The sequence below is a fragment of the Homo sapiens genome, chromosome 17 (genome assembly GCF_000001405.40).
Source record: "Homo sapiens chromosome 17, GRCh38.p14 Primary Assembly".
Lineage (NCBI taxonomy): Eukaryota > Metazoa > Chordata > Mammalia > Primates > Hominidae > Homo > Homo sapiens.
The window spans coordinates 50,742,567-50,760,978 of record NC_000017.11 but is presented as its reverse complement, the minus strand read 5'-3'; the positions used below and the strand labels follow the sequence as shown (position 1 = coordinate 50,760,978).

Sequence of the window (18,412 nt, the reverse complement as noted above, 5' to 3'; positions counted from 1 at the left end):
ATGCATATACCAGTTTGGCTAACTTCATGTTTGAACTGTGAGAAATTATTATGTTTCGTCATCTCCAATTTCTCTGGGCTGGGAGAAGAGTTAAGTTTAGGGTTTTGACAAATAGCTATAAAAAACATCACAAGGTATGATACTTACACCAAGGGCAGTTTATTTTGTAGAGTTGTGCCCTAATCCTGATGTATGCTTTATAAGATTCAGTCAGGACAAATGGCCAGAGTCTCTTCAGGTCAACCCACATGGGCAGGGTGAGCTGATGGTGCTAGGAAAGCCAGGACCCACTTGGCAACACAAGTTCTATCAGTGTCCGCCCCCACTCCGCCTTTTTTTTTTTTTTTTTTTTTTTTGAGACAGAGTTTCACTCTGTTGCCTATGCTGGAGTGCAATGGCACGATCTCAGCTCACTGCCAAGTTCAAGCGATTCTCATGCCTCAGCCTCCCAAGTAGCTGGAATTACAGGCACACACCACCACGCCCAGCTAATTTTTGTATTTTTAGTAGAGATGGGGTTTCACCATGTTGCCCAGGCTGGTCTTGAACTCCTGACCTAAGGTGATCCACCCGCCTCAGCCTCCCAAAGTACTGGGATTACAGGTGTGAGCCACTGTGCTCAGGTCCCCCAACCCTTTTTTCTTTTTCTGAGACGGGATTCTTGCTCTGTCGTCCAGGCTGGAGTGCAGTGGCGCGATCTCGGTTCACTGCAACCTCTGCCTCCTGGGTTCAAGGGATTCTCCTGCCTCAGCCTCCTGAGTCGCTGGGACTATAGGCATGTGCCACCACACCTGGCTAATTTTTGTATTTTTAGTGGAGATGGGGTTTCACCATGTTGGCCAGGATGGCCTCGAACTGACCCCAAGTGATCTCTTGGCCTCCCAAAGTGCTGGGATTACAGGCGTAAGCCACTGTGCCCGGCCAATTGTCCTCATTTTTAAACGTGTCCCATACTATCACTTCCTGTTTACACCTTTTTAAACTCATCTACAAAATGGCATGATATCTGAGTTGAGTAAATAACTCCTTTTTTTTTTTTTCTTTTTTGAGAGGGAGTCTTACTCTGTGACCCAGGCTGGAGTGCAGTGGCGCGATCTCGGCTTACTGCAACCTCCGCCACCCGGGTTCAAGCGATTCTCCTGCCTCAGCCTCTCAAGTGGCTGGGATTACAGGCATGCTCCAAAATGCCTGGCTAATTTTGGTAATTTTAGTAGAGATGGGGTTTCGCCATGTTGGACAGGTTGGTCTCAAACTCCTGACCTCAAGTGATCCGCCCGCCTCGGCCTCCCAAAGTGCTGGGATTACAGGTGTGAGGCACCGCATCTGTCCAAGTATTTTTTAAATTTTATTTTTTAAGACGAGGTCTTGGCCGGGCGCAGTGGCTCACACCTGTAATCCCAGCTACTCAGGAGGCTGAGGCAGGAGAATCGCTTGAACCTGGGAGGTAGAGGTTGCAATGAGCCCAGATTGCGCCACTGCACTCCAGCCTGGGAGACAGAGCAAGTCTCCGTTTAAAAAAAAAAAAAAAAAGACGAGGTCTCACTATGTTGGCCAGGCTGGTCTGGAACTCCTGGGCTCAAGTGATCCTCCCACCTCGGCCTCCCAAAGTGCTAGGATTACAGAGGTGGCCACCATGCCCAGCCAATAACGATTAATACCTTTGAGGCTATTTTTAACATACCACTTACAGAACAGGCGAGGCACAGCCCATGCCACTGGTCTGTGAAATAAGCTGAAAAACCAGCTGGTGCCCTCACTAACATCTAAAGTGAGCTGTCATCACATCCCATGCTACATTCCTCCCTAACACACTCCCTAGGATCCTTCCGGGTCAGCTCCCTTGCCAAATTCTAGTTAATAACTCTGCTTGCACCTTGTACGGGCTCATGCAATGGCTTGACCCTATCTACCCACTTTTATTCACACACACCACACTGTCACTTCTTTACACACCTGTTCCTCCTAGACCACGAAGTCATCTCTAAAGCTTGTGGGAGAGGTATACATAAAATACCAGAACTCCTTATGGCCAAGCATAATGTCTTACTTGCATCCCAGCACATGCCATTAGCCACTGTTCCTTCAACTCCAATTTCTCAGTAGCTCAACTTTGATGAAGGGCAGCGGACACATAGGCAGCACGTCAAGACTTCCCTTATCCAACTGTTCAAAACAGAGAAAAATGGTTCCAATAGTAAGAAGTGTCCTGTTTCATTCAGAAACGTCATGTGGGACCATCTGCAACTTGCTTAGTTAGCATTTGCGGCCTCCTGTAACAAGGTGACAGAAGCACTTCAGGTCAGCATCTAAATTGCTTATTTTTTTTTAATTTTGAGGCCAGGCATAGTGGCTCACGCCTGTAATCCCAGGAGTTCAAGTTTAGCTTGAGCAACATAGCAAGACCTTATCTCTAAAAAAAAAAAAAAAAAAAAAGAAAAAAAGAAAAACTTTGGGGGGGTGCATATCACTGTTACCCAGGCTTGAGTGCATGATCTCGGCTCACTGTGCAACCTGTCTCGTAGGTTCAAGTGATTCTCATGCCTCAGCCACCCAAGTGGCTGGGATTACAGGCATGCATCACCATGCCCAGCTAATTTTTAAAAATAGTTTTGACAAAGTTTTGCCATGTTGGCCAGGCTGGTGTCGAACTCCTGGCTTCATGTGATGTGCCCGCTTTGGTCTCCCGAAGTGTTGAAATTACAGGTGTGAGCCACTGCGCCCAGCCAAAACTCATTTTCTATAACACAAATAAGTCTTAAGGCTGCAGATTATCAGTAAAACAAAATTTGAAGAGCTTCAAGAGTAATTTGATTAGTTTTCACCTCACACATCGATTATAAAAAACTAATCCCTGAGTAAGGTGCAATTCCAACTCATTTTATTTATTTATTTTGAGACAGAGTCTTACTGTGTTGCCCAGGCTGGAGTGCAGTGGCACGATCTTGGCTCACTGCAACCTCTGCCTCCCGGGTTCAAGCAATTCTCCTGCCTGTCTCCTAAGTAGCTGGGACTACAGTGCCCACCACCATGCCCGCTAATTTTTTTTGTATTTTTAGTAGAGATGGGTTTTCACTATGTTGGCCAGGCTGGTCTTGAACTCCTGACCTCGTGATCCACCCACCTCAGCCTCCCAAAGTGCTGGGGATTACAGGGGTGAGCCACCAGGCCCAGCCTATTTTTTATTTTTTTTGAGACAGTCTCGCTGTGTCACCCAGGCTGGAGTGCAGTGGTGTGATCTCAGCTCACTGCAACCTCCGCCTCCCAGGTTCAAGTAATTCTCCTGCCTCAGCCTCCCAAGTAGCTGGGACTACAGTGCCCACCACCACACCCAGCTAATTTTTTTTTTTTTTTTAGTAGAGACAGGGTTTCACTATGTTGGCCAGGCAGGTCTTGAACTCCTGACCTCATGATCCGACTGCCTTGGCCTCCCAAAGTGCTGGGATTACAAGTGTGAGCCACCGCGCCCGGCCAATTCCACTGATTCTAAAATGGCCTTAAGTGAAATTAATCACGTACCAAAATGCCATCCTAAGAAGTCCCAGAACTATTTAGGTTAAAATAAAATATGAAATGACCTAGAATTCTTAGTTGTTCATTAACTCTGCACTTTCAACTAATAGGGTGATTAGTAACTCAACAGCACCACCCCTTTCCACTCCCCTTTCAGAAGTCCTGTGTACAAGGCACAGCCCTGAGGGTGCCACTGCTGCAGTGAGGACAGATTCCATAGCGGAGGGACCTGGAGCTGCACCTATTTTGTTCTTGGTGTATCCAAAGGTATCAGTCACTCCACAGCACATAGGAGCACTCGGGGATGTGTTGGATGAACTCACAGCCAAGCCCTATGCTCATACTGAGGGGATCCAAGTCTCACCTGGAGCATAGTTGAGGGGTAACAGGGCTGCTGTAAACTGACGTAGGGCCTTAGTTATATGAACCTTATGAATCTGCCAATTCAAATTTCAGTCACTTTCCTCTTTTTAAAGAGTAAACATTTTTGTGTTCACAGTACCCCTACTAAAATTAGAACAAGGCCAAAGCAGCAGCCTCTCTGAGGTAACAACCTAACTTGGGCCAGGGGAAGGAGTACAGCACAGTAAAGCAGTTTTCTTTCCCAGAATGGCATAAGCCTGAGAAAAGCTTCTTTGGAAGCTGTTTAGACAGGAAAACAAAACCATCAGCTCCCTGGCTGGCAGACAAGTAGAAACTATGTTAAGATGAAAATAAGGTATCACACAGAAAACATACATTTAGGTTTCTTTTTTTTTTTTTTTTTTTTTTTTTTTGAGACGGAGTCTTGCTCTTGTCGCCGTTTCTAGCTTTTTAAGAGTTACAATTAAGACCTCAATTTGAAGACTGGGCGCGGTGGCTCATACCTGTAATCCCAGCACTTTGGGAGGCCAGGGTGGGCCTGATCATTTGAGGTCAGGAGTTTTGAGACCAGCCTGGACAACATGGTGAAACACTCTACTAAAAATACAAAAAAATGAGCCAGGTGTGGTGGTGCGAAGCTGTAATCCCAGCTACTTGGGAGGCTGAGGCACGAGAATGGCTTGAACCCAGGAGGCGAAAGATGCAGTGAGCTGAGCTCGTGCCACTGCACTCCAGCCTGGGTGACAAGACAGAGACCCTGTCTCAAACAAAATAAAACCTTAAATTGGGCACTCAAGAAACAGCATCTTTAAATTTGTCACTGACTGATGGTTAATTTTACGAAATACACTACAGCTTATATATTAGTAACTACCTACACCAAGACTTTTTTCCCATTCTTCTTTTTAAATTTTATTAAGAAATATCATACATACAAAAGCACATAAACATACAGATTAAAAAAGGAAATGCCCACAGGCTTCAGAAACAGACCCTCACCAGTTCTTCTGAAGACCCCTGTGCCCTCATGATCACCTCTCCCTCCATCAAAACGGCTAACATTAAATTTTGTCTTAATCGTTTCCTTTTATCATGTATTTGACAGCCTGTTTTTGACTTTCATTGAAATGGAACCATAGTGATGTATTCTTCTGTGACTTGCTTTTTTTGATCCTTCTATTGTTGAGTTTTGTCCATGTTCACATACACAGCTGCAGTTCAGTTTCACTTCTGTGGAATTCCACTGTTGGAATATACCACAGTATTTATCCAACACACTGTTGGTGGACACTTGGGATCTTCCCGGGTTTTTTCTTCTTTTCTTCCTATTACACACAAATGCTTAAATCCATCCCCTGGTACGCATGTGTAAGAGTTTCTCTAGGGTATGTATCCGGGAATGAATGGCTACGAGAGAGGTTATGGCACACCCACTTATACCAAATTGTTTCCCGTTTCCCAAAGTTGTTGTTTCTAAACATTCTTAAATCTGTTGACAAATGACCTATTTGGGATGGCTGAGGGGAAGAAATAGATCAGCTACAAAACTCTTGAATTTTTAAAATAGTAAATTCAAAATTCTGATACAACAATGAAAAATACATTTACTTCTCTGCTTTGGCTTACTTGAAATGTACTTTTTAAAACTACAGGTTCAACTTAAAAGTGCTCTCCTTTATCTCAAAATAAATGTTTCTAAATATTACCAGGTAAAAACAGCAAGACTCAGAACATACGGGTATACCGTCATATATTTTGAAAGATCTATACATATATGTTTATATTTCCTCCCACCTCCCATCTCCCCACAAAGAAAACAACTTGGAAGAATAACTGTTAACAGCAGCAAGCTCCTGCAGAGGAAAAACAGAGAAATAGGAGTAGTAGGAGACATAGATCACTGAACACTTTTTTTTTTTAACCATGGGCAACATTACAATTATAATACAAAATTTCAAAAGTAGACCTGGGGTTCTTTCACAAACAACTAAAAAATCCCTCAGGAAATCAAACTTGAAAACCAATCCTGCATGAAGTCCCATCCCACAGAATTGTATACATAATAACTTCAAGTGTTTTTTGTTTCATGCACATATCAGATGTTTAAAAACATATTCACATAGCCCATCTGCAATGCATTTTTAAAAACAGAATGGATGAGGGCTCAGAGAACTTCCACCATAAAAATTTTCAGTTCTTACAAGTCTGAAAACTTTAATCAGAAGGTGGCTGAGCTCAACCAATATGTGGTCCAAGTGTTCTCAGACCTTAGAAATAAGGTTGGTTATTTATCCTCTGTGACACTAACTATATTTAAGGAACCAGAATGCCTAAGGAGAGGGAGTAAAAATATCTGAGCTGAGCAATATGACTAGGTTATTATAAGCTCAAGATCAAGAAAAGGATGTTTCAACCCAAACTGAAAAATGAATGGACTGTGTTTGAAGGGGAAAAAAAAACGTTTTAACAAAAAGGAGCATGATATGTATTATCTCTACATTCCAGAGGAGAGGATGTCTTGAGCAGCAGACTGGTCGGTCCTCTTGAAAGGCTCAATGAAAATTAAACTATTGGACCAGTGCTAATATAGTTTGATGACCAACAAAAGTTTACCCAATTTGTTTTATACTAATGAACTGTTATTTAAGAGGTCTTTGTCTTTTAGAGATACATGCTGAATTATTTACAGATTAAATGGTGTGTCTGAGACTTGCTCGAAAATAATAGAAAACAGTGGATACAAATACAATCACTCATGAAGTATAAAAGTGGTCATGAGTCTTGTTGGTGATGAGTTAACAGAGGTTAATTATATTGTTCCTCTTTTGTGTATGTCTTTAAATTTCCAAAATAAAGTTTTTTTTTTTTTAAGACCAACTGATTGCAGATTCCAAACTTACCAAGCAATCTGATTGATTAAAACTGGTTTGCTCCCCTTAAAGACCTTCCAAAGAGAAAATACATATTCACCAACTAATAACTTTTTGGTCTGCATGGCAGAAATGTTTGTTTCTTCTAGTGAACTGGTCTCAATACTGGATTCTTGTGAGCTGGTTAGCAACAATCAGTTCCTCTTCAGTCACATCAATTTTGGGTGTAAAATTCAACTTCTACGTCTCTCTCCATAACTAAAGCCAGGCCTTAGTCATAGATGTCCTGGGGAGGCAGGTCCTCCTCCCACCACCCCCACATCCCAGGTAACTTCAATAGTTACAATATATCTAAGTGTCCATAGAGGAAGCCTTTTCATATGAACTCATTTATTATACTTCATTTAAGTTAGTTAGACGTTGATTCTAGATGAGGCAGAGCAGAACAAATCTGGTATTTTAGTAACTTCCTAGATTTTTTATTACTTAGGGACAGAATATGGTTTAAAAACTATCACTTTAAGTCCTTTGCTGCTACAACCACAATGCTGTCAAACTACACAAAGCAGTGCCTGGGAGCTATCTTTGTGTTTGTTAGATTTTACTTCCCATTTTATCTTAATCCTCATGTGAATTATCTCTTACAAATTCAGAGATAACCCATTCATCTATTGCTGCATCTCCAGGATCAGCTAGGGAGCCAGGAGGGCTCTGTCTCCACAGCATTTTTTCATACAGAGCCTCTAAAGTGGGGGCGGCTTCATTATTTTTCAAAGTTTGGTGGAAGAGATTTTAGTAAATTCTTTAACAATTCATTATGCCTATTAGAATGAACACAGTGGCTTAACAGGCACTGGACCATGAGGCAGAGACCTAGCAACTCCATAAACATGAAGCCACAGGACCCTCCCTGGATAAGTCATTTAACACACTGTTTCTTTACCTATAAACTGATAGCAGTATTTGCAAGTTATAAACCACAAGGAATTGCTATGATATATATGTATGTGTGTATATACGTAGCTGGAGAGAATACTTTTATACAGTCGAAGAAGCTGGCTATAGATAGAAACATGCTGCCGGTTTTCCTAGATGTGACACAAAAATAATCACTTAAGTGGGGGGAAAAAACCCTTGCCATATATACTACACACCCTATACACAAATACATTTATAAACTGACACAGCTGGGTTAATCTTGATACAGGACTTAACAAAAACTAGCTCTTGAATGCTTTTCTACATCATCCCATAGCTAGCCAGCTAAAGAGTGCTTGTCAGGATACTTGGAATTTTCTACTAAATGAATCTCTCAGGGATGTAAAAATATATTCTAGTTCACTGCACATCTTTGCTATTAAAAGCAAAATTCAAATTTATTCATAACCACCTAAAATTGAAGCACCATTATTTAAAACATTAGAAAGTCTATAAAAATTAGTCTTAAACAGAACAAATCAGATAAAACTGTACACCAACACCTCTAGTAATAGTGTAACTCTTGTATTTAAAACAGGGGACTAGTTCAGAGTCAATAACTTTATTAGAAAAAGATTAATACTAAAACTTTTCAATGACAGAGACAATCAACTTTGTAACAGAAAGTCAGAGATACTTTATTTTTACTTCTAAATCCAAAGGCTAAGTAGAGCAGAGTTGTAAAAATGAAATCCCACTTAGTCTGATTCACACGAATACTAACGTTTAATCCTGTTTTCAAAGTCCAAGATTGAAAACTTGCAATTAAACACTGAGCAAGCCACATGTTTAAGTAATATTTCTTAAAAAGTCTTAAAGAAAAAAGTATGATACAGGACCTAAGTTTTCAGTGGCATATATACTATTAACACATGTTCTGAAATCTGGTAGGTCACATCAGTCCTGAATTAACTTTTAATAATAATAATAATAAAAAAACTAACTGAGCTTTATACTTTTTCTATGCCACTATAGCTTTCTTTCACCTCATTTTTTAAATGTCGATCTTCACTTTATGCCGTTCTCAGTATTCTTCCAAAAATCTTCGAACAGTAGTCCTACAACGCAAAATTTGGGGAAAAATGATAATTAGACAACATGTAAAAGGCCAATTTTTATGAGAAAGTGTTGGCCCAGTCACTAACTGCTAATTAACATGTGTACATGGAATGCTTGTATTCTTTTTAATTATCAAGGCATCAGTGTGGTTCTTAAAGCCATGTGCCTGTGTATGCTTGCCTAAGTGTGAATGACATACACAGACATAACCTTACATTGCTTTCCCAAAAGGGGAATGCCACCAACAAATCAACTAATTGGTACTTCCTTTCATTAGGAATATTTTGTCCCACACCACTAGCCCACAGAATGAAGTTTACAGGTTTTAAGAACACTTACAGTACCTAACTTTTAATATTTCTTTAAAAACCCAAATTCGTTCTATATAGTGCATCAGTTCTTTGATTTCACAAATTGAAGGTGTCTGTCCTTGCTATTCACACTGCTGCTTTAAATGTATCAGCCAGTGAGTGACTATTCCTACATACCTATGGCTGACTGCAAATTCTCCTACACAGTAGGAAATATTAAGCACATACCTCTTATAGACTTGAGAATTGCATTGAGTGTAACAAGGCGAATAATATGAAGTGTTTATTGTATTTAAAATTCTTTAAAGATATCTAATTCTGGCCACCACTGCAGCCCTACATACAGTTGAAAAAAAATTCCATTCTGTTAACATTTGTTTTATAAGTTTTCACGCAATACACAAAAAACCCCTCTGCACTTCTTGTAAAGAACAAAAAAGATACACAACAGTTAAGCGTAAAGATCACAGGCAATAGCATTCAAACATGGATGTGGGTAGAGAAAGGAGTACCTGGCATGAGTACCTGCTTAGTTTGACTGAATCCTTGATTTTTAATTTGGCTTTTCATGGGCCGCTCACAACACCAACGCTGTGTGAGGTATGGTAGTCAGCTGCAATAATTCATAAACCCTACACTTCCATCAATCCAATGCTACTGGCTCTCGAGTTACAGAACAAACTGCATTAGAATGCAAGGCAATAAAGCAAAAAACTAGAAACATCCTTGACAAAGAAATACTAGCAGTTTAATTAAAACAAAGTAGTCCAACATGTGCCTCCGAAATATTTAAGTTTTTAAAGCATATGTCTCTGCCAATGTACCAACACAAGATGGACTTAATACCAAAAAGAAAAAAAAAAACAGTTCAACCTTTTTATTAAAAAAAAAAAAGAAATGACATCAAAATCCCTAAAAAAAGGATAATTAACTTTTCAATGGCGACTATATTACAAATGTGGGCGATAATTTCCAAAGAGGCACACTAATGGGGGCACGAGTCTGCTACAAAATAGCTGAGACAAAACAATGTACCTCAAAATGTTTTGCAGGACTACACTGTCTTTTCCTTCAGAAGAGGCTTTTGTATGTCTTCTTACTCGGCTTAGTTCCATCTTCATCTGTGCATACTTACGCTGCACTGTCAAACAGTAACAAAAAGCCCTAATCAAAGTGAGAAACAATACACTTACCTCTGTCTGATCTGAGGTCTTATCAGATCAGTTTTAATTGGACTGAGTGTCACCTTCAGATTTAATGTCTTCACTGGTCCCATTGACCTCATTCTTAGTATCACTTTCCTTCGATTCAGTGTTTGTGTCTTCACTCTGCTTTTCTCGACTACCGGACTTCACACTACTTTTTTTATCATCAGATCCCCTCTTTTCTGCCATAAAAGAAGACATTGACCATGGATTTTAAAGTAAAATACAATAAAGACATGATTTTGAAAAAAAGTGAAACAACTGAGAGATGAGAGACAATCATTTCCCACAGACTGCAAGCAACGGTTTGGTGAATTTACCAAAGGGATAAAATTTGTAATATATGAGAGAGAAGGCAGGAAGGGGAATTCAAGGAAGCAAAAGGTAAAATAGTGGGTAAATTCTCTCAATTGGTGAGAAGCTATTAAGCACATTGCAGAATATAATATTTAAGTAAATTTCATTGTGGGTAAAAAACATCAAAAAGCACTGGGAAAGGTATAAAAGACAGCATACAAAACTATGTTCACATGAGGTTCAATTATTAAGTTAGAAGGGTAAAAATGGAGACCCCAAAAGGTGAAAAAAAGTTGAATGTTTATAACAGGCATGTTTTAAAAACTACAACTACATATTTTTCAATGCAAAACATTATTTTTATATATATTTGAATATCCAAGAAGGATAAGCCTAATCAAAGAAAATGGATCTTAAATCCCAATCTAAGCAACTGAACTTTTGTGCTTTGCTAAGAAAAGTAATATATATGCCATCTGAGAGTTGTTTTTCCAAAAAGAGAAATTAAAATTCAACTCAGCTGCAAATGAAGAATGAAAAAGGTAAACAACTTTTTCCTCTACTATTCTTTGGATGGGTAAGACCTCAGACTAGAGGTAAAAGTAGTACACCAGAGCAAGCATAGTCTAGCCTTTTCAGTTCCAAGTATTCCCCCAACAAAAAATTTCTACAGAAAATGTTAAAGCCAACTAGAAACTTTCTGGAAAAATTACTTTTCCCCTTACTAAGAATAGCTGGTCTGGCAGAGTAGTTAATTAGACAAAAAGACATTTTAAGAGAAACAGAACCCTCTACATAGTTTCTGCACAGTTATGAAGACGTAACACCAAATATCTAGGAAAGAGATGGTAATGAAAAACAAAACATGGTATGGGAGGGGCACCCACTCAGAGAACTGAAGATCTTATGTAAAAGAGCATATTTAGTCCGTAACACTTGCATAATACACAAAGCAATGTCCAAGTAGTTAAGCGCAAGACTTGCTTCATGTCTGTCTGTCCACTTGTGAGAACTGTGCCAGGACAGTGGGCTCTAACTGACCTTGTGGGAAAGTCCTCCCTTTGTGCCTTATGGGCTTCTCCGGTGCACAGGTAGCTTCAATGAGGAAGAGTCGTCTTGTTGTCCCGTAGAGGACTAGTAGTCAGTCCAATAATCTTATCTTCTGCCCTATGTAAATATGGTAGATCTTAATAGTCCTAAGGACATCCACAATTTGTGGTGGATTTTAGGGCTATGGATGAAAAAAGGAAACTCTCTTGACAAAGAGAGCACCTTACACTGGTTGCTGACAGCTTTGTGTGAGAAACCACTTTTCATTTGTGGAGTAAGATAAACTGCTTCTATCATAGCACCTGGAGTAATAAACTTGCTTTTTCTCATTTGCCATTAATAAATGCCCACTGTGGCTCACACCTGGTCCCAAAGTCCAGATCTTCAGTCATTTATAAGAGTGCCTAGATGGCTACATGGTAGTTTCTTTTCTGTATTTTTTTTTTTACATTTTTTAAATTCACTCATCTGCACACTGATTTTAATTAATTTATTTTTACATAGCATTTTCAAAATGCCAATAAATTATATCACTTCTAAAAGAGATTCCAATGTTTAACTCTATCATAGCATACCCAATCATGGGAGACAAGCCTGATACAGTTTTCTTAGTAACTTCTCTCTTTGCACCAAGTCTCACATGGAAAATCCCTGTCTGTTGCTAATCTAAACGTAACTCAGCTTATTCCGCTTAACGAAAAGTTTTACTAGGGGCCAGGCATGGTGGCTTACACCTATAACCCCAGCACTTTAGGAGACTGAGGCAGGAGGATTGCTTGAACCCAGGAGATCGAGATCACACTGGACAACATGGCAAAACCCCATCTCTACCCCCCCAAAAAAAAAAAAAAAATTAGCCAAGCATGGTAGTATGCACCTACAGTCCCAGCCACCCAGGAGGCTGAGGTGGGAGGATCACCTGGGCCGGGGAGGTAGAGGCTGCAGTGAGCTGTGATCGTGCCACTGCACTCAGCCTGGGTGACACTGAGACCCTGTCTGGAAAAAAAAAAAAGTTTCACTAAATTTCATGTCATCATCATTACAATTTTAGGATTAAAGGTAAGCAACTCTGGACATCTTTTTGCTCTATCCAGAAATTACACAAATATGCCTGTTTTTAGTCAGGCCAGTGTCATTTACTACTCAACTTTGACTTCAAGTAGTTATGAAGGCTAGCTAGCTTTTATCCCTAAGAACCAACCCAACAATTTTAAGTGGCACAAATGATAACACAGAATAGAGCAACTAAAGCTAACAATAGGAAATGTAAAACTAAAAACTTTCTCAAAACAAATATTATTAATTTGACCTGACAGTCATACCTGGCTCTTAAGAGTTGACCTCTCAACCCAAAAAGACATTACACAGAAAGTCTTGCAAAAAGATTAGGTAAAACATTCTTAAATCTAATGTTAAATCAGTTAACCCTTTGTAGCAACTGCCTTTTGAATCAGAAGCAAGTTCTCAACTTGAATGGCAAACACTAGCACATCTGGCAGGAAGACAAAAGTTTTCAACACTTTCTCACATTACAGTAAAAGCCAATAGATGTTAAATATTTCAGAAAAAGAGTGTGTGCTTATTTTAAGAAAATAAAAGCAGAGACCAAAAAATATGTCCATGGTTTGTGCTGCTAGTTCTAGCTGAGTCTAGAGGAAAAACGAAAACAAAAAACCAGGACAGTTCTATTAAAGGATATAATAAACAAACAACACACAAAAGACTAGTATAATAAACCTTAATAGTAGCACATATATTATGCTGGTGATTAAACATGGAGACAGGTAGAATGAAATGAAACAAGGAGAGCTGAGAAAATCAGAAATAGGCCCCTTCTCTCATTCCTAAAACCATGCAAAGCACAACAGCTCATTCAATACAAAATAAAAGATATTTTATATCTTTTATATAAAAAATACAAAATAGAAGAACATGAAACTCAGAAAGGAGACCCTGGTGGTTAACAGAATTATCTTCCAATAAAGGCTAAGTTAGATGAGAATATTCTTGTGAAAACATGCCACACAAATTAAAAAGTCCATTAATAGTGCCAACAGCACAGTAAATCAGCTACTGGGATGCCACACCAAAAAAAAAAAAAAAGAAAAAGAAAAAAGAAAAAGTAAAGGGGAAAGAGCATGTTGATCCCATTGAAAACGTGGGTAAGACACATGTAAGCAATTCAACTTCTAGGTACTTAGATGTTAATTACTAACTTAAATGAATGCTACAAATGAAGATTAATGCAACAATGTACACTCACTTTATAAGACGTATTATGAAACACTGCAGTGTGTAAAAAAAAAAGGAGCCAATAACCAAGGTAATATAATAAATCCTACACCTAATAACCCCGAAAGGTAATATAACACTTAAAAGAAGCTACATTAAAAACCTTCAGGTTTATCAACTGAAAGATGTTTTTAACATCTAAGAAAACACCAGATAAACTGTCATTTTCACAAATCTAAGTAGGAGAGGGGGAAAGAATGCCTGTCTCCTACTGAATGGCATTCCTCAAAGTGAAAAGGAGTATGTATGAAATGGATCTTTGCCTGTGTCTGGAGAAAAGTGAGTGGGGCGATTAGGGTGTGAAAAGTTTCTTAATGAACTGAATTCTCATATAAACTAACCTTTCTCCTTGGATTTTCTATCTTGTTCTCTGTCCCGACTTTTGCTCCTGTGCTTATATGACTTTCGATCCCGGCTTTTTGATCTTCTTCGATCCCGACTTCGAGATCTGTGTTTTCTTTCTGATCGATCATGGCTTCTGCTTCTTCGTCGATCTCTACTTCTTAATAATTTAAAACCAAAAGGCAACTTCAGCCAGTATTACAATAAGTAAAGGCCTTGGAGTAGATGCTATTAATTAACAAGACTAGGCAAAACTTACCCTCTAAAACATATTTACATTAGAAATCTTAAGAACTAAAAATTATTGAAAATCTTTCTAAATTCATCTCCAATAGTGCTAAGATGGTTATCGTTGTGCTCTTTAAGACTCTTCTTCAATTTGTAATTATAATTAAAACAGTATGGCTGATTTCATATTTTATTTCTCGGAATCAGTGAGACAAGCACTTAAGAGACCATCAGGTACTCTAACTTTGTAAAAAGGTTGGGTGAAATTTCCTAGACAGGTGGGAAATGGCACAGAAGTTGCCCCGAAGATGGAACTATTTTATTCACTGATTCCGCTCTCGCAACCCATCCTATCACTTAAAGATGCTTAAGAGCTTCCCAAGTACCATTCCAAGGAATAATACTAGTAGTTATTATTGTTATTGCACACCCATTATGAGCTGGACAGTCTTAGGGTGTTTTATATATACCTGCTCCGCCTTCTTTCTCTACTTCGTGACCTTTTGTGGTCCCGAGACCTGCTGCATCTTCTGTCTGATGTTCGGCTTGAGTGTCTACTTCGTGAACGACTTCTCTTTCTTCTTTCTCTGTCACGAGCCCTTTCTTTTTCTCTTTCTTCCTCTTCCCTTCGTCTTTTCCTTTCTCTTTCTTCCCTTTCTCTCTCCCGTTCTTTTTCTCTTTCTTCTCTTTCTTGCTTCTCCTTTTTTAGACGCTCATCACGATCAGGTTCTTCGGTTCTTTTCCTTAACTTTTCCTAGAAAAATCAAGTTGGATTCTTATGCAAATGTAACTTTAAAGCATTGTTAAACAATGGTCAACTAATGTGAAGTTATCTGTAGACCAACTTATGGAATTGATGCCCTTAAGGGAAATGTAGACATTCCAACACCATGTATATACACAAGGTATCATTATTTGTCTAATCCTCAGGAATATTCTTCCCAAATTTCTGGCACTCAAGAGTTAAGAAAATCAAGTGCTTTCATAGTTCAATAAATAGCAAAATTTCACAGAACTCACAATGCTTCAAAAATAATTACACATAGGAAAATATCAATGAGAGGGTCATATCTCCATTTAAGCCATATTAGAATATAGTTATTTTTATCTATAGCTACTGATAGCTAAAAGCTGTAGCTATAGCTAAAATAGATTTTTTTAATAGCTAAAATGTATCTTTAGAAGAAATTTACGCTGGCCGAGCGCAGTGGCTCAGCACTTTGGGAGGCTGAGGAGGACGGATCACCTGAGGCAGGAGTTCAAGACCAGCCTGGCCAACAGGAAAAAACCCCGTCTCTATTAAAAAAAATACAAAAATCAGCCGGGCGTGGTAGTGTGTGCCTGTAATCCCAGCTACTCAGGAAGCTGAGGCATGAGAATTGCTTGAACCCCAGAGGTGGAGGTTGCGGTGAGCCGAGATCACGCCACTGTACTTCAGCCTGGGTAACAAAGCGAGACTGTCTCAAAAATAAACAAACAAACAAACAAACAAAAATTAGCCAGGCCTGGTGGCACATGCCTGTACTCCCAGCTACTCAGGAGGCTGAGGCATGAGAATTGCTTAAACCTGGGAGGTGGAGGTGGCAGTGAGCTGAGATCGCGTCACTGCACTCTAGGTGACAGAGCAAGAATCTGCCTCAAAACAAACAAAAAAACTTACTTTTAATTCTTCTACAGTAGCTTTAATTTTGGCATAGCCCATGTGTTGTTTTCCCATCAAATGGTCATCTACCCGGGACTGGGCATCTCCTACTATTAAAAAGGCTCCACATACTTCACAAACTTCCATTTGTTTTTCTTGTGCAGCAAAGCTTTCAATTGTCTAAAATGATAAATCAGTTATTTTAAGAACATCTGAGGAAGAGAAACAAATCCCAGGAAAGTACTCAACATTTAGAAAAGATTTCTAATGTGTGTGAATTGCTCTTTTCCATTTCCCCAAATCAGTAATATTGGACTACAAGTGGTCAACTTTTAGAGAGGGATGTTTAAGGTAACAGCAACTAACTTACTGAATCATCCAGAAGAAATGTTGAGACCCACTGTTCAATGTTCAACACCCACATTACCTTACAAAATTTAAATCACCTTTCAGAAAGCCACCTATTTTAGTATGAATACATTCCTTGCTTAGGTTCAAGGAATAATGTCCATATACAAAACTAATTAAGGAACTAAGCACATTGACTATAATCTGAACATATCCTATTCAATATGGAGGAACCAATGACCAATTACATTCTGCAATCAATAGTATCTGAAACAAGTATATTCTATTCTCCAATTAAAAGAATTAGATATTTAAGGGTGTATTAATTTTTAACAAAGATGTAAGTATGTACTGAGTAATTTATTACAACAAAAATGAAAATAAAACCAGGCTCATATGAAAATTTATGGTTTAAGGCAGTGATTGGCAAGCCAGAGAGGCCTTTTGCTAACATTTTATTGGGATACAACCACACCCATTTGTTTCTTGTACTATATAAAGTTGCTTGCATACTGCACAAAGGCAGAGCTTAGTAGATGCCACAGACCTTGTGGGCTACAAATTGTGCTGACTCTAAGTTTGGAACATCAGTTTTCAAAGGTTCTCAAATAAAAATGAGTTCCTACTAACTGTTAACAGACAGATGAGATAATGTGAAATAAGGTTTACTCACCGACGTTGTGGACCTTAGCAGTTCTCTCTCTTCTTTTAATTGCTCAACTAATTTCATCATCCCCTGGGCTTCTTCTACTTTTCCTTCAGACCCTAATTCTTCAATCTTAGAAGAGTAGGGGAAAAAAACAGTTAAGATTTCTTTCAAACCCAACTATTGTCTTTTTTCCCCATGGTTCATTAGTGGTTGTTTTCCATCTTTTTTGTTTGGTTTCATTTACAAAAGCCTCTTTGGGTTTAATTTATCCTGGATTTTTTTTATACTTCAATAAAGTATAACTGATGTGTTAAGAAAAATGCACTTTCGGCCAGACGCGATGGCTCATGCCTGTAATCCAAGCACTTTGGGAGGCCAAGGTGGGCAGATCACCTGAGGTCAGGAATTCAAGACCAGCCTGGCCAACATGGTGAAACCCCATCTCTACTAAAAATATAAAAAAAAAAAATTAGCCAGGCATGGTGGTGGGCACCTGTAATCCCAGCTACTGGGGAGACTGAGGCAGAAGAATTGCTTGAACCCAGGAGGAGGAGGCTGCAGTGAGCCAAGATCGTGCCACTGCACTCCAGCCTGGATGATGACGTGAGACTCTGTTTTTTTTTTTAAAAAAAAGGAAAGACAGCGTCTCACTATGTTGCCCAGGCTGGTTTTGAACTGCTGGGCTCAAGCAATCCTCCCAAAGTGCTGGGATTACAGGTGTGAGCCACCTACTCTTTTCAGTACCTCCTCCAGCCTGAATCCTAAACACAATCCCCAGGCAACCACAGATCTGCTTTCTGTCACTGTAGGTTAATATGCATTTTCTAAAATTTTATATAGAGTCATAGAGTCTATATTCCTTTTTTGTCCGGCTTCTTTCACTCAGCCTAATTATTTTAAGATCCACCCATATTGTCTCATGTAGCTAATTCCCTTTTATTACTGACAGGCATTCCACCATATAGATACATCATGATTTAATTATCCACTCACCTGCTGATGGGTATTTTAATTGATTCCAGTCTGGGTTTTATTTTTTTTGTGCCATTATGAATATAGCACTCATGAACACTGGAGTGTAAATCTTTGTGTAGACATATGTTTTCATTTCTCTTGGATAAATATTTGGGAGTAGAATGGCATATGGTACATTTTTAACTTTTTAAGAGACTCCAGGGCCAGGCACAGTGGCTTACACCTGTAATCTCAACACTTTGGGAAGCCAAGGTGGGCGGATTACTTGAGGTCAGGAATTTGAGACCAGCTTG

At 39.1% G+C, this 18,412-nt stretch overlaps 1 protein-coding gene across 9 annotated transcripts in view, besides 1 other annotated feature; it reads right to left on the bottom strand.

The window, feature by feature from the left end:
* Nucleotides 3,597-3,891: a silencer, noted in NCBI's record as "tiled region #5668; K562 Repressive DNase matched - State 14:Gen5'". NCBI's record gives its function as "represses a minimal TATA promoter and a strong SV40 promoter by Sharpr-MPRA in K562 cells {active_cell/tissue: K562}" and the evidence as "EXISTENCE:reporter gene assay evidence [ECO:0000049][PMID:27701403]".
* LUC7L3 (LUC7 like 3 pre-mRNA splicing factor) overlaps nucleotides 4,760-18,412 on the bottom strand; it is a 36,617-nt gene continuing 22,964 nt past the window's right edge. For 4 of the 9 annotated variants that reach the window (NM_001330330.2, XM_006721943.3, XM_047436248.1 and 1 more), the window contains 6 exons: nucleotides 17,169-17,273; nucleotides 16,166-16,327; nucleotides 14,976-15,259; nucleotides 14,277-14,437; nucleotides 10,338-10,478; nucleotides 4,760-10,232 (listed from right to left, as the gene is read on the bottom strand). In NM_001330330.2, the coding sequence (NP_001317259.1) occupies nucleotides 10,042-10,232; nucleotides 10,338-10,478; nucleotides 14,277-14,437; nucleotides 14,976-15,259; nucleotides 16,166-16,327; nucleotides 17,169-17,273 (1,044 nt within the window). In that variant the 3' untranslated portion in view covers nucleotides 4,760-10,041. Of the gene's footprint in view, nucleotides 10,479-14,276; nucleotides 14,438-14,975; nucleotides 15,260-16,165; nucleotides 16,328-17,168; nucleotides 17,274-18,412 lie in introns of all 9 variants that reach the window. The other 5 variants (XM_005257449.3, NM_006107.4, XM_047436247.1 and 2 more) reach the window with 5 other exon arrangements.